This window comes from Homo sapiens, chromosome 3, assembly GCF_000001405.40.
Source record: "Homo sapiens chromosome 3, GRCh38.p14 Primary Assembly".
NCBI lineage: Eukaryota > Metazoa > Chordata > Mammalia > Primates > Hominidae > Homo > Homo sapiens.
Window position 1 is genome coordinate 57,416,868 of NC_000003.12, and position 14,176 is coordinate 57,431,043.

The window sequence follows — 14,176 nt, forward strand, 5'->3', positions numbered from 1 at the left end:
AAACTCTGGAGAATCCCTGTTTGAGAAATGCTGCATTAAAAATAAAATACTATCATTTTGAATGATAACTTGTTACTACACAATACATAAAGACAAACACAGGCCAGGCGCGGTGGCACACGCCTGTAATCCCAGCACTTTGGGAGGCCGAGGCAGGTGGATTACCTGAGGTCAGGAGTTCGAGACCAGCCTGACCAACATGTAGAAACCCCATCTCTATTAAAAATACAAAATTAACTGGGCATGGTGGCAAATGCCTGTAATCCCAGCTACTTGGGAGGCTAAGGCAGGAGAATCGCTTGAACCCGGGAGGCAGAGGTTGTGGTGAGCTGAGATTGTGCCATTGCACTCCAGCCTAGGCAAGAAGAGTGAAACACCTTCTAAAAAAAAATTTAAAAAAAGACAAATACAAAGGCCAGCACTGAAACTGAGTAATAGCCATATTCAGTTCTAAGGGGTCATCTAAGTGAGCCAAACTATGCTAGTATTAATTTTGAAAACTGTTACTGAAATATGAACACAAAATTAAAGTTCTTTTAGAAACAGAGTGACCCCTGAGAATTCATCTACATGTTCCAGTCTGAGTAACATTAGCTCTATGAAAATTTATTAAAATAGTATTAATAAATTTCTGTTCTTAACTTGGGGTCCATGAGCCAACTAAAAACATTCATAGAATTCAGAGAATCTGTGAACTTGAATGACAAAAATGTTATACCTTTACTTTTTGCTATCCTCTAAAATGTAGCAATTGTATGAATAGTACCTGTGTCTTTGTCACCAGTAGAAATCATAGCTATTATCCTACACATTACAATTGTTACAGTATCTCAAAAATATCACTCATGCCCATTCCTTCTTCAAAGGTATTATAGTCATCAGATCCACTGACAGATCTTGTTATTTAATGTGTTAATAAAGAAACATATATATATTACTACTATGGCCCAAATATGTTCAATATTTTCATAAATGTATTTCGATATAAAAAGAAAAAAACAGGCTGGGCACGGTGGCTCAAGCCTGTAATCCCAGCACTTTGGGAGGCCAAGGTGGATGGATCATTTGAGGCCAGGAGTTCAAGACCAGCCTGGCCAATATGGTGAACCCCCGACTCTACTAAAAATACAAAAAATTAGCCTGGCGTGGTGGCAGGTGCCTGTAATCCCAGCTACTCAGGAGGCTGAGGTAGGAGAAGTGCTTGAACCCAGGAGGCAGAGGTTGCAGTGAGCAGAGATGCTGGAATGCACTGCATTCCAGCCTGGGAGACAGAGCGCAAGCGACTTGTCTGAAATAAATAAACAAATAAATAAATATATATATGGTTTACTTTATAATTCTATTTGTACTTATTTAAAAGTATTATTCTGACAAATGGTTCTTGGCACAAAAGAACTGTATTGCCAGGCACGGTGTAATCCTAGCACTTTGAGAGGCTGAGGTGGGTGGATTGCTTGAGCTCAGGTGTTCAAGATGAGTCTGGGCAACCTGTCTCTACAAAAAAAAAAAAAAAAAAAAAAAAAAAAGCCAGGCATAGTGGTGCATGCTTGTAGTCCCAGCTACTTGAGAGGCTGAGGTGGGAGGATCGCTAGAGCCTGGGAAGTCAAGACTGCAGTGAGCCGTGATCGCACCACTGTAGTCCAGCCTGGGTGACAGAGTGAGACCCTGTCTCAAAAAAAAAAACAAAAAACTGCTATACTAGAAATGTCACAGAATTGGCAATTGTCTTCCTTGCTTAGCTTCTAAATGCAAAAATGCAACTACGGACACAAAATAGGGGTAAACTAATTTTCCCTCATAAGCTATTTTTCCTGTTTTTTTGTTTTTTTAAATGAGATAAAATTGGTCACAGAATGCATTCAGGAACAGCTTCTTTATCAAAAAAATGACATTTATGATTATATAAACTTGTCTAGTTTAAATAGTATGAATGGTAAATTATACCTAGTGTTTTAAAAGAAAAATAACTATTAAATGTTATTAAGAAAGTTGGTATGGATATGCAAACAGTACACATCTAGGCTTTTGATCAGTTTCATGTGTCTTTACTTTTGATGGACTCTTCTGAGTTTTTAATATTCACCTTAAGTTATGGAATCCAGAACTGGCATAGGACATAGGTGAAAAATGCTAAATGTAATAGGAGAATGTGGATCATGGTTACTTTGATGTCTCAGGAGTACGCTGAATCTTTAATTAGACTGCATACCTTTTTAACAGTAACACAGCAGCAGGCTTTCAGTGTGCTGTTACAAATCAAAAATGTAAGGCAACTTATGAGGCAGCAAAGTATGATGGCAAGGGCTTTGGAGTGGGCAATGGGAAATGTGTATTCCAGGTTTGCCAATAGCAACAGATGTCACTTTCAACATGCCAACAAGTCCCCCAGGATTTCAGTTACCTGAAAAGGGATGATCTCGAATACTTCAAAAATTGCCATAATCCTATTAAAATGGTACTTTTACATTCAAAATGCTTGTTTATAGCAGAGTTCCTTACTTTGCATAGGTAATACTCAAATCCATTAGAAACGTATATCTAATTGTGTCCATCGTAGGGACTATGATATCTTGAATCTTGATTTGTTTATCTCCTAAATTAGTATTTTTAATTAATTCATTCCAATGGACCCAGCGACCTTTGTTTTTCAACTACAAGAAAATATAAGTTTTAAAATATTAAAACCATGTACTTGCTGTATCTGAAAGGCTCTTTTCAACATGTATACTATTATATTAGCTTTTAAAAACTTAAGTCTTCCCCCTTTTAATGAAATATTACATTCACATAAAAGAACACATATAGCATATTTTAAGTCATAAGCAGATTAATAAAATAAGCATTCATGAAAACACCAATTTAAAAAATATATTTTTTCAATTTTCATTTTTAATAACCTGAAAAATATAATGTAACTTTTGTTATCACATATTCAACATATCTAACATTTCAGATACTTTTGCCTTTATGTCTTCTTAACACTCCAATATTCCCCAAATGCCTTCAAGATGTCCTTTTGCATACATTGAGTATTTATTTGAAAGCCACTCTAATGTACTTCAAGTTACAATTTCCTGGGTTTTGGCTTTACTTTTTTATATTTTAAAACAAATGGGCAATAATCTAACTAAAAATAAAATATCACATAAAACCACTATATTTGTTTCTCTAACATTATTCTCTTTGGCATTTTGATCCAGGCTGAAACAACCAGGATATATATCAGCATAGCTGTATTAATTGTTATGATACTGAAATTCTTCTGAATCACTGGCTAAATAACTGCTGTCCTGACACCCCTGAGTGCCTCCCAATCTTCACTCCACCCCCAACCATTATCTTCTTCTGCAGGTTGTTTTGACCCCTCCCTGGAGAACCCCAGCCCTTCCACTGTTAAGTAAAAAAAGTTTTAATACCTGCCAAAGTAGCCCCCTAAGACCCGATTCCAGAGCTGTGGCTGGAATCTCACAATCTTTTCCTATTTTCCAGCAAATTGTACACGTATATGTTACATGTTTGAATTGTGGTAACTTTGTAAGTTTGGGTGAATGTTTCTTTAGTAATTCATATTTGTATTTTTTTAAGTTTTAGCTTTTATTTTTATCAACATTATATATGTACATATTTTACAGTCAAAAGATTTACAAGGTTAAGAAAAACAGCATTTCCCTACTGTCACTTTCCCTTTCCTAGAGACCTTCACCTTCTCTAAGCTGGATAGTTTGGTATTTATTTTCGATTCTTAAAGAATATGCTTGTGGGCCGGGCGCAGTGGCTCACGCCTGTAATCCTAGCACTTTGGGAGGCTGAGGTGGGTGGATCACGAGGTCAGGAGACTGAGACCATCCTGGCTAACACGGTGAAACCCCGTCTCTACTAAAAATGCAAAAAATCAGCCAGGCGTGGTGGCGGGCACCTGTAGTCCCAGCTACTCGGGAGGCTGAGGCAGGACAATGGCTTGAACCCAGGAGGCGGAGCTTGCAGTGAGCCGAGATTGCGCCACCGCACTCCAGCCTGGACAATAGAGCAAGACTCCGTCTCAAAAAAAAAAAAAAAAAAAAAAGAAAGAAATAAAGAATATGCTTGTGTTACCACCTCTTTTTTCACTTTTAGAGATTACTTTATTGACTTCCCGCTATGGCTAATGAGGATGAAACTCTCTTTCTGGCCAGATTCTTAAAATTCTGTGTTAGCATGGTTTTGGGGAAAGGGTCCTGCACTGTCAGTCAGGAGAACTTGAGTCAAGTTCTGGCTCTGCTAGCCATTAATCTTTTTAGGTTTACTTCCTTATCATAAAACTTGAGATTTAAGTGAAATTATAACTAATGCTCTATCTAGATCTTATGGGGGATGAAATAAAATTTGTATGAATCAAATAATTATTCAAATACTTGCTGTTTAAAAAATGCTTTGGGGAATTATTTAATAAAATGGAAAAATAAATTTAATTTAAATGTGAAATTATAAAAATATTATTAAAGCAAATTTATTTATACAGCCAATAAGTTATGGGAGGTGAAACTAAAAGAAGGGAGCTTAAAAAGCTCACCGCAGGAGTCAAAATAACTCTAGGATGAAAACCCAGGAGCTTTGTCTGCTGGCCTAAGCCTTTGTGTTTTATCTTACCATAACAAGCTTTTTATGTCATACCTCATACATGTAGTCATAGACCAGGCCTTTTTCATCAAATGGGCATTCCCATTTACCCACAGAATCTGGCACTGGGTTTTCATCATCTTTTCCCAGTATGATTAATCGTATGAAAGTATCAAAAACACGACGGCCATCTGTATCACAACTTCCTCCAATCGACCAAATCAAAGAGAATATAAAGCAAGCCTGTTGGTGGAGAAAAAATTTAACTTATAGCAATTATTTTAAAAGGCATTTTAGGAGAAACATTAACCAAAATTCAATATATTAGGATATGCTCAACTTACTTGAACAAGGTCGTAAGTGTAAATAAAGTAGAATGGAGCACTGCTAAGCCACATAGTCATTTCTCTGACAATTTTTATCAAAATGTTTGCATGTCTTTTTTTTTTTTTTTTTTTTTGAGACAGCGCCTCTCTCTGGTTGCCCAGGCTGGAGTACAGTGGCACCATCTCAACTCACTGCAACCTCAACCTCCCCAGTTCAGGTGATTCTGGTGTCTCAGCCTCCCAAGTAGCTGGGACTACCAGGGTACACCACAAAGCCTGACTAATTTTTTGTTTTTGCTTTTTAAGTAGAGACAGGGTTTTGCTATGTTACCCAGGCTGGTCTTAAACTCCTAGACTCAGCAATCTACCTGCCACAGCCTCCTAGAGTGCTAGGATTACAGGCATAAGCTACCGTGCCTGGCCCAATATCTATCAAAAAAAATTTTTTTTTCTTTTTTGAGACAGTCTCACTCTCTCACCCAGGCTGGAGTACAGTGGTGCGATCTCAGCTCACTGCAACCTCTACTTCCCAGGTTCAAGCTATTCTCCTGCCTCAGCCTCCCGAGTAGCTGGGACTACAGGCGCCCACCACCACGGGGTTTCACCATGTTAGCCAGGATGGTCTCGATCTCCTGACCCCGTGATCTGCCCGCCTCAGCCTCCCAAAGTGCTGGGATTACAGGTGTGAGACACCGCGCCCGGCCTCTAACAAAATTTTAAATACCCATACTGGCTGGGTACAGTGGTTCACACCTGTAATCCCAGAGCTTTGGAAGGCCAAGGAAGAAGGATTGCTTGAGGCCAGGAATTTGAGACCAGCCTGGGCAACATAGTAAGACCCCATCTCTACAAAATATTTTTTAAAACAAAAATAAATAAATAAAATGTCCTTACCAAATAACCTAGGAATTTCTCTTGTGGGAGTTTATACTCAAATATATTTCCACCTGTGAAAATGACACATGTACAAGAATATTCACTGCAGCACTATTTGTAATAGCAAAAGATCAAAAGCAACCCAAATTGTTCTTCAGAAATGGTCTGCTTAATTGGATTCTGCTAATACACTGAAATACATGCAGCTGTTAAAAAACAAGGTCACTCTATAAGCACTAATATGAAAATGACATATTACAATAGAGAAACGATGCAAATCAGTAGACAATGTATGCTAATGTATTTAAAAATGTATACATGTAAAAGAGTGTGTGCATAAAATACTTCTAGAATTCTATATAGGGCACCGGCAATATTAGCTGCCTTCAGTGTGGCTGGGGGACTGCTATGGAAAAGTGGGGAAAACCCACTTTTGCCTTTTGAATTTTACTCTAGGTACATGCCTTATCAAGTCCAAAAGTAAATATATATTCAGAGAAAAATTTCACCTAGATATCAATCTGTATAACTCTCTTGAAGTGATTCTGAACCACTTGAAAGGTTTAGGTTTTAGGTTTACCAACAGAATAAAATGTTCAGGAAAAATGCAACTTGAAGGTTATATAGGTAAACTATTCCCATGATACTTTTATAAACAGTAACACTGATAGATATGGAAGAAAGCTAAAACTTAGTTTTGTAAAAGGCGGTTCCAAACCTAGGGAGAAAAAGGAATAAATAAATTATACTTCAAACATGTCTGTTCAATATCTTCTAAAGCGGAAGGATATAAAGGCGAAAAAGGAGGACAAAAGGAAGGGATTTGGTTAGCAGGAAACCCTGGAATGTGAGATGTCTGAGGCAGCAGATACTTTGGGCAGCAAATGGAAGGAAAAACAATGGGAGGGAACTGCTATGCTGTGAGGGGAGAGGGAGGAGATCAATGCATTTAGGAATAAGGTGGTGCATGGGAAACCAGCATAGACCAGGAAAAAGACACTAAAAACCTCTTTCCTCAGGCTCTTGATAATCTGTTTACTTGTGCCATTCCCTCTGGCCTAGCTAACCAAGACTACTGACTTCTCCCTACCTGAGGCCTCCATGGATTCTGCCTCCAACACTCCACCTAGCTGGCTGGATGCCTATTCCTGGTTTTATTTTTTTTTGAGATGGAGCAATTCTCCTGCCTCAGCCTCCTGAGTAACTGGGACTACAGGCGCCTGCCACCACGCCTGGCTAATTTTTGTATTTATAGTAGGGATGGGGTTTCACCATGTTGGCCAGGCTGGTCTCGAACTCCTGACCTCAAATGATCTGCCCACCTTGGCCTCCCAAAGTTTTGGGATTACAGGCATGAGCCACGGCACCCAGCCTACTCCTGGTCTTTCATAGCTAGCTTTTATGTTGCCTAAATGCTGGCTTAACATTAATTAATAAAATTAATTCACCTAATGTCCAAATTTGTTTAATATTAAATCACTTTATTGTTGATCAAATTATAATCTTTCATAATAGGATAGTTGACCGAGCATGGTGGCTCACAACTGTAATCCCAGCACTTTGGGAGACCGAGGTGGGCGAATCACCTGAGGTCAGGAGTTCAAGACCAGCCTGGCCAACATGGTGAAACCCTGCCTTTACTAAAGATAAAAAAAATTAGCTCAGTGTGGCAGTGCGCACCTGTAATCCCAGCTACTCGGGAGGCTGGGGCAGGAGAATCACTTGAACCCAGGAGGCAGAGGATGCAGTGAGCTGAGATCGCACCACTGCACTCCAGCCTGGGCAACAGGGCAAGATTCCATCTCAAAAAAAAAAAAAAAATTGGATAGTTGCCAGGCGCGGTGGCTCACGCCAGTAATCCCAGCACTTTGGGAGGCCGATGCGGGTGGATCACGAGGTCAGGAGTTCAAGACCAGCCTGGCCAAGATGGTGAAACTCCGTCTCTACTAAAAATACAAAAATTAGCCAGGTGTGGTGGCAGTCACCTGTAATCTCAGCTACTCGGGAGGCTGAGGGAGGAGAATCACTTAAACCTGGGGGAGGTGGGGGGTGGAGGTTGTATTAAGCTGAGATCACGTCACTGCACTCCAACCTGGGTGACAGAGTGAGACTCTGCCCTGTCTCCAAAAAAAAAAAAAAAAAGATAGTTTTGGTTCCTTGTGACATTTTAATTTCTTTAAAGTGTTTTTTATTATCAGAATACCAGGTGTTAGGGCAACTTTAGTGTCTCCAGCTATTCTTTCAATGCTCACCAAAAAATAGCTTTGGATCTTGTCATGTCTTTCTCAATATAAACATCATGTACCAGAAGCATAATTTATTTATAATTAAAAACTACATGAAGTATAAAACCAACCATAATCCAAACACGAATGTGCTTGCTAGTAGGATCATTTTCTACCACATTGCAAAGTAGCACTTCAAAGAGGCGTGTGAGAGATACAACCACGTTGCTGTTGCTTGTAGGAATCAGTTCCTGCAAGGTGAAAATAAGATAACTTTCTTAATTTTCATCTTATTTAGAAAATAAGAAAAACACTTTATTTTTAAAAACTGATAAAAGCATACATGGTTTTAATAAGGTCTTTTTTTTTGTTTTTGAGATGGGATCTCACTCTGTCATCCAGGCTGGAGCCCAGTTGCACAATCATAGCTCACTGCAGCCTCCAACTCCTGGGCTTAAGGGATCCTCCTACCTCAGCCTCTCAAGTAGTTAGGACTATAGGTGAGCACCACCAGGCTATTTTTTTTTTTCCCAGATAGGCTCTCACTCTGTCACGCAGGCTAGAGTGCAGTAGTGTGATCACAGCTCAGTGCAGCCTCAACCTTCTGGACTCAGGCAGTCCTCCTGCCTCAGCCTCCCAAAGTGCTGGGATGACAGGCATGAGCCACCACAACTAGCCTCATAAGGTCTTTATAATATTTAAACTTAAAAACTTTAAGTAGGCATGATAAAACATTTCTCAAATATTTTAGTTTCCCATATTATATTACACAATTATACATAACAATTGTACAATCGCACATAATACATTCTAAATTCTCTGACAAATGAAAACTAGCTACTGCAAGAGAATAAACAGTGTTCTAAGGATAGCAGAAATGAAGTCTCTAAGAGCCATTCATTTATTTATTCAACAAACATTTATGAAAAACATACTATACCTATGTGGCAAGCTAGGAGATATGGAAATAAAAGAATCCCTAAAAATGGATGATATTAAAATTAAATAGACAAAAATAATATGATGTAATAATGATATGACAGAGAAAGTCTCAGGGTAGGAGGCGGCTGCTAGAGTGCTTGGGATAAACAATTGGAGGAGTGCACAAGGAGGAAAACGGGAGAGAGATACACCAAAGAGGGCTTCCTGGAGGAAGTAATAATAGCTGAGCTGAATTTGGAAGGAAAATGTAAGTTTGCCAGGTGAACAAGGGAAGGATATTCAAGGCAGGGGAATGTATACAAAGAAATGGAGATGTGAGCAGACACAGATTATTAAGGGGATTCTGTAGGATATGAAAATAGGGTATGAAGGAGGGATGCCCAAAAATTAGGCTTGAGAAATACACAAGAGTCAGATCCTAAAAGGTTTTTATATGCTGTATTAAGGATTTAATTACAAGAGGAAGAGAGTTCCAAGGGAGGGTTTTAAATAAAGGAATAAACAGAAAGGATTTGTGTTTTGGAAACTTCATTCTGTAGCAGGATACAGACTGGACCAGAGCAGCTGCATGGTATTGATTCAGGTAGGAAGTGATGATGGTCAGAATTGAGATACTATAACGGGAAGGGTGGGGCGAGGAGGTGGCTGCAGAAACAGGGATGGAAAGAAAACAGGTATAAACTTTATCAAGAAGGGAAAATCAATAGATCCTGGGGCCTGGACCAGGTGGCTCATGCCTGTAATCCCAGCACTTTGGGAGGCCGAGGTGGGCAGATTGCTTGAGGCCAAGAGTTAGAGACCAGCCTGGCCAACATAGCAAAACCTCATCTCTACAAAAAAAAAAATATACAAAAATTAGCCAGGTGTTGTGGTGCACGCCTGTAATTGTGCCTGTAATCCCAGCTACCTGGGAGGCTGAGGCACGAGAATCACTTGAACCTGAAAGGTGGAGTGCCACTGCACTCCAGCCTGGGAGATAAAGAGAGACTGTCTCAGAAAAAAAAAAAAAAAAAAAATCTGGGGACTGGATGAGAAAGAACTATGAGAAGAAAATCCATTACTCATTATGTGGAAAGGTGAAGCCTATTTTGTATTATTTATAATATATAGCATTAGAGTTTTAAAACTATAAGGGACTTTGTCTATTTTCTCTATGAAGACACTATACAGAATCTTCATAAAGTGGAATTGCTCATTTTTTTCTTTTAAATGGCACTTTTTTCTATGCCTAGAACATTTTAGGATAAAACTGAGTATCTCTTTCCCCTCTGTATATCAATATATTTATTTATATGTAAGAAGCGAATGTGTGTGTGTGTGTGTGTGTGTGTGTGTGTGTGTAGGAGATGGTGGAAATGGTTGAACAATGGTCCCCAAAAAGATATTTCCATGTTCTAACCTGAGGAACCTATAAATGTGATCTTATATGGAAAAAGGTCTCAGAAGAAGCAATTAAGTTAAAAATCTCAGGAGGAAGACATCATTCTGGATTATCTAGTGGGTGCTAAATCCAAGTCCTTGTAACTGTCACATGGAGGAGAGACATGTGGAGTAGAAGGCCATGTGAAGATTGGCCGGATGCGGTTGCTCATGCCTGTAATCCCAGAACTTTGGGAGGCCAAGGTGGGTGGATCAACTGAGGTCAGGAGTTCGAGACCAGCCTGGCCAACATGGAGAAACCATGTCTCTACTAAAAATACAAAAAAAATTAGCTGGGTGTGGTGGCATGTGCCTGTAATCCCAGCTACTCGGGAGGCTAAGGCAGGAGAATTGCTTCAACGTGGGAGACAGAGGTTGCGGTGAACCAAGATCGCTCCACTGCGCTCCAGCCTGGGTGACAGAGCAAGACAGAGCAAGACTCCATCTCAAAAATAAAATAAAATAAAAAGAAGGCCATGTGAAGATGGAAGAAGTTGGAGTTATGTAGCCACAAGCCAAGGAACACCTGAGGCTACCAGAATCTGGACAAGGTAAGAAAAGAGTCTCCCTTAGAGCTTCCAAGGAAGTATAGCCCTCTACAAACATCCTGATTTTGGACTTCTGGTCTCCAGAACTGTGAGAGAATCAATTTCTGGTTTTTGGGTGTTTTTTGGTTTTGGGGTTTTTTTTTTTCTGAGACGGAGTCTTGCTCTGTCGCCCAGGCTGGAGTGCAGTGGCGTGATCTCGGCTCACTGCAACCTCCATCTCCTGGGTTCCAGTGATTCTCCTGCCTCAGCCTCCCGAGTAGCTGGGATTACAGGCATGTACCACCATGCCCGGCTAATTTTTATATCTTTAGTAGAGACAGGGTTTCACCATATTGGCCAGACTAGTCTCAAACTCCTGACTTCAAGTGATCCGCCCACCTCAGCTTCCCACAGTGTGCTGGGATTATAGGAGTGAGCCACCGTGGCTGTAGCTTTAGCCATCAAGTTTGTGGCAATTTGTTATGACAGCCCTGGGAAGCTAATACAATATGTAAAGTTTTCTCATAAAATACTAAATATTGAATAACTCATAAACTCACTAAATGTACATTGAGTTTTTAGAGGCACATATTTAAAATAATTTGAAATACGGAAAGTAATTAGAATTTTTAAAATTTTAGACACTATGGTTGTATACAAATAGTTTAGCTGGAATAATTCAACCCCTGAGTTATGCAGCTATAACTTAAGCAATATAAAACCAACGGTGGATAGTAAATGCATAAGGACAAACTGGTTTTAGTTATTCATTCTACCAACCACTGTGACTTTAGACTTAGTCAAGTTGAATGGAAACAAAGAAACTTGAATAGGTCAGAGAATTATAGGATTACCTTGCATTTTTTCTTACGCTGGTTTAAAGAGGGTGGTATTAACCAGGCAAAAAGTCCTCTCAGAAGAGCTTGATATTCTGGTTCACACAGAGGTCCTTTCAGTGAATTCAACCAAGAAGACACAAGTGGTTCCCATCCTAACTGTGAAGGCTCCAAATAAATCATACCACAACGACTTACAGTGGCAGGCTAGAGAAAAAAGGCAACTTTTTGCACTGTTGTTTTTATACCAGTGGCACCTGGCAATTATCAACTATTTCTTAAGATGACTTATGAGATCCTTTATAATCTAGCTCCCATCTGCTTCACATAGCTTCACACAGTCTAGACGTTCCCCATACAGAAAACTATTTGCAGTTCAGTTCCCCAGATATGTAAAGGCTCCATGTCTTTAAACATTATCTCGATCTGGAAACGCCTAGGATTTCCAAATCCAATCTCCCTGGAGAAGTCTTACATCTTCCTCAAAATCAGATCAAACACTCAGTTACCTTCCATGGTGCTCCTCTATCCATCCTCCTCACAGATGCTCACTCCTCTCCACACATTTTTTTTTTTTTTGAGACGGAGTTTCACTCTTGTTGCCCAGGCTGGAGTGCAATGGTACCATCTCGGCTCACTGCAACCTCCACCTCCTGGGTTCAAGCGATTCTCCTGCCTCAGCCTCCCAAGTAGCTGGGATTACAGGCATGCACCACCATGCCTGGCTAATTGTGTATTTTTAGTAGAGATGGGGTTTCTCCATGTTGGTCAGGCTGGTCTTGAACTTCCCACCTCAGGTGATCTGCCCGCCTCAGCCTCCCAAAGTGCTGGAATTACAGGCGTGAGCCACCGTGCCCAGCCATCCTCTTCACACTCTTAAAGCACTAACATGTAGCTGTGTAATGGGATTATTAACATGCTTCTCATCCTCCCTAAACAAGCATACACTGTGTCTTATTCATCTTTATATTCCTAGTGCCTAACCCATTTTCTGACATATAATAAAAAATACTTATTGGCTAAATTAAAGAATGAAGAAATGAACAAACCACCATTGTATTAAATTATGAACTTACGGATGCCTGGGAAAGGTCCATTGTTTCAAAGATGAGGCTCATTTGGGGGGACATCTGAATGATTTCTCCACTCATAAGGCAAAGCTAAAAGCAATTATTTTTCAAATGTTTATTTTTTAAAATTTCAAGTTTCTCAGATAAAAATTTATACTATGTATAAAATAAAGTAGCTCCTGTGATATAATGGAATAAGAATTAGAATGGAAGCCAGAAAATCTTAATTCTAGGTCTAGCCCTGTTAATTATTAAGTATTTAAGCAAATACTTAACATCTCCGAGTCTCAGTCTCTTCATCTATAAAACAGGGATAATAGTGCTCTTGTAGAATTGTAGGAAGGGGGACTATAAGACAAAGTCCAAAACCTATAAAATCCTATACAAATATCGGCTATTAAGAAAATTAAGTGAAATACTCCTGAATTTATAAAGTGACCATAGACCTTTTTATTAAATTAAAAAATAGAAAATAGAGAATAGCATGCGTACTCTTATACCCAGCTCATAGATTTAATCAATGTTAAGATTTTGCCATATTGCCATTACCTTTTTAAAAAAACAGTTTAAAGAGCATTATAGACATCACATCATGGCATTTCACATTCAAATGCCTATGTTTCCAAAAAATAAGTATATTTTCTATGTAATCACAATAACATTATCACACCTAACAAAATGAATAATTCTTTATTATCATCTAATACTCAGTCAATACTCAAATTTCCTCAGTTGTACCAGAAATGTCTTTTCAATGGATTTATTTAAAGCAAAATTCAATCAAAGACTATGCATTGAGTTTTTTATGTCTCCTTGGTCTCTTAATCTAAAACATTTCTTCTTTTATCAAATATGTCAAAAACTGAATTTATCAACTGCTTCCTTTCCCTCAAATTTCTGTCTTGTCTATTATTAAAGCCATCCTATCTCCTCAATCTCTTTGGCTTGCAGCTATGGAATTATCATTAACTTTTAATAGTATTATTATTATTAACTTGATACCTAAATTAATTTTATTACTAAGTCTTTTAAATTCTTGTACATTTAGTTTTCAGTGTTTCCTTTCTGCTTTTACAATCATCACTTTAGTTCCAGTTTTTCCCCTATCTAGTCACATGTCAACAATGAGAAATTTAACATTTGTGGATTCCGTTTCTTAGCTGTAAAATGAATGATCTAGAGGTGGATTGTCCAATACGGTAGCTGCTAGCCATATGTGGCTATTTATATTTAATTTTAGCTAACTAAAACTAAATAAAATTTAAAATTCAGTTCTTCAACTGCACTAATCCACACTTCAAATGCTCAGTAGCCACATGTGACTAGTAGCTACCTTCTCAGAGAACACAGATAGTTGCA

The 14,176-nt window shown here is 38.9% G+C and overlaps 1 protein-coding gene across 9 annotated transcripts in view, besides 1 other annotated feature; it reads right to left on the minus strand.

The window, feature by feature from the left end:
* DNAH12 (dynein axonemal heavy chain 12) overlaps nt 1-14,176 on the minus strand; it is a 262,335-nt gene that overhangs the window by 123,168 nt on the left and 124,991 nt on the right. For all 9 annotated transcript variants that reach the window (XM_047447667.1, XM_011533468.2, XM_047447668.1 and 6 more), the window contains 5 exons: nt 12,824-12,907; nt 11,766-11,954; nt 8,155-8,274; nt 4,651-4,839; nt 2,500-2,651 (listed from right to left, as the gene is read on the minus strand). In XM_047447667.1, coding sequence (XP_047303623.1) covers nt 2,500-2,651; nt 4,651-4,839; nt 8,155-8,274; nt 11,766-11,954; nt 12,824-12,907 — 734 coding nt within the window. The remainder of the gene's footprint in view (nt 1-2,499; nt 2,652-4,650; nt 4,840-8,154; nt 8,275-11,765; nt 11,955-12,823; nt 12,908-14,176) is intronic.
* Nucleotides 279-454: a silencer, noted in NCBI's record as "fragment chr3:57402873-57403048 (GRCh37/hg19 assembly coordinates)". NCBI's record gives its function as "represses an EF-1alpha promoter that drives an FKBP-Casp9 reporter gene in an ReSE screen in both phorbol 12-myristate 13-acetate-treated (for megakaryocytic differentiation) and untreated K562 erythroleukemia cells {active_cell/tissue: K562 | K562(+PMA)}" and the evidence as "EXISTENCE:reporter gene assay evidence [ECO:0000049][PMID:32094911]".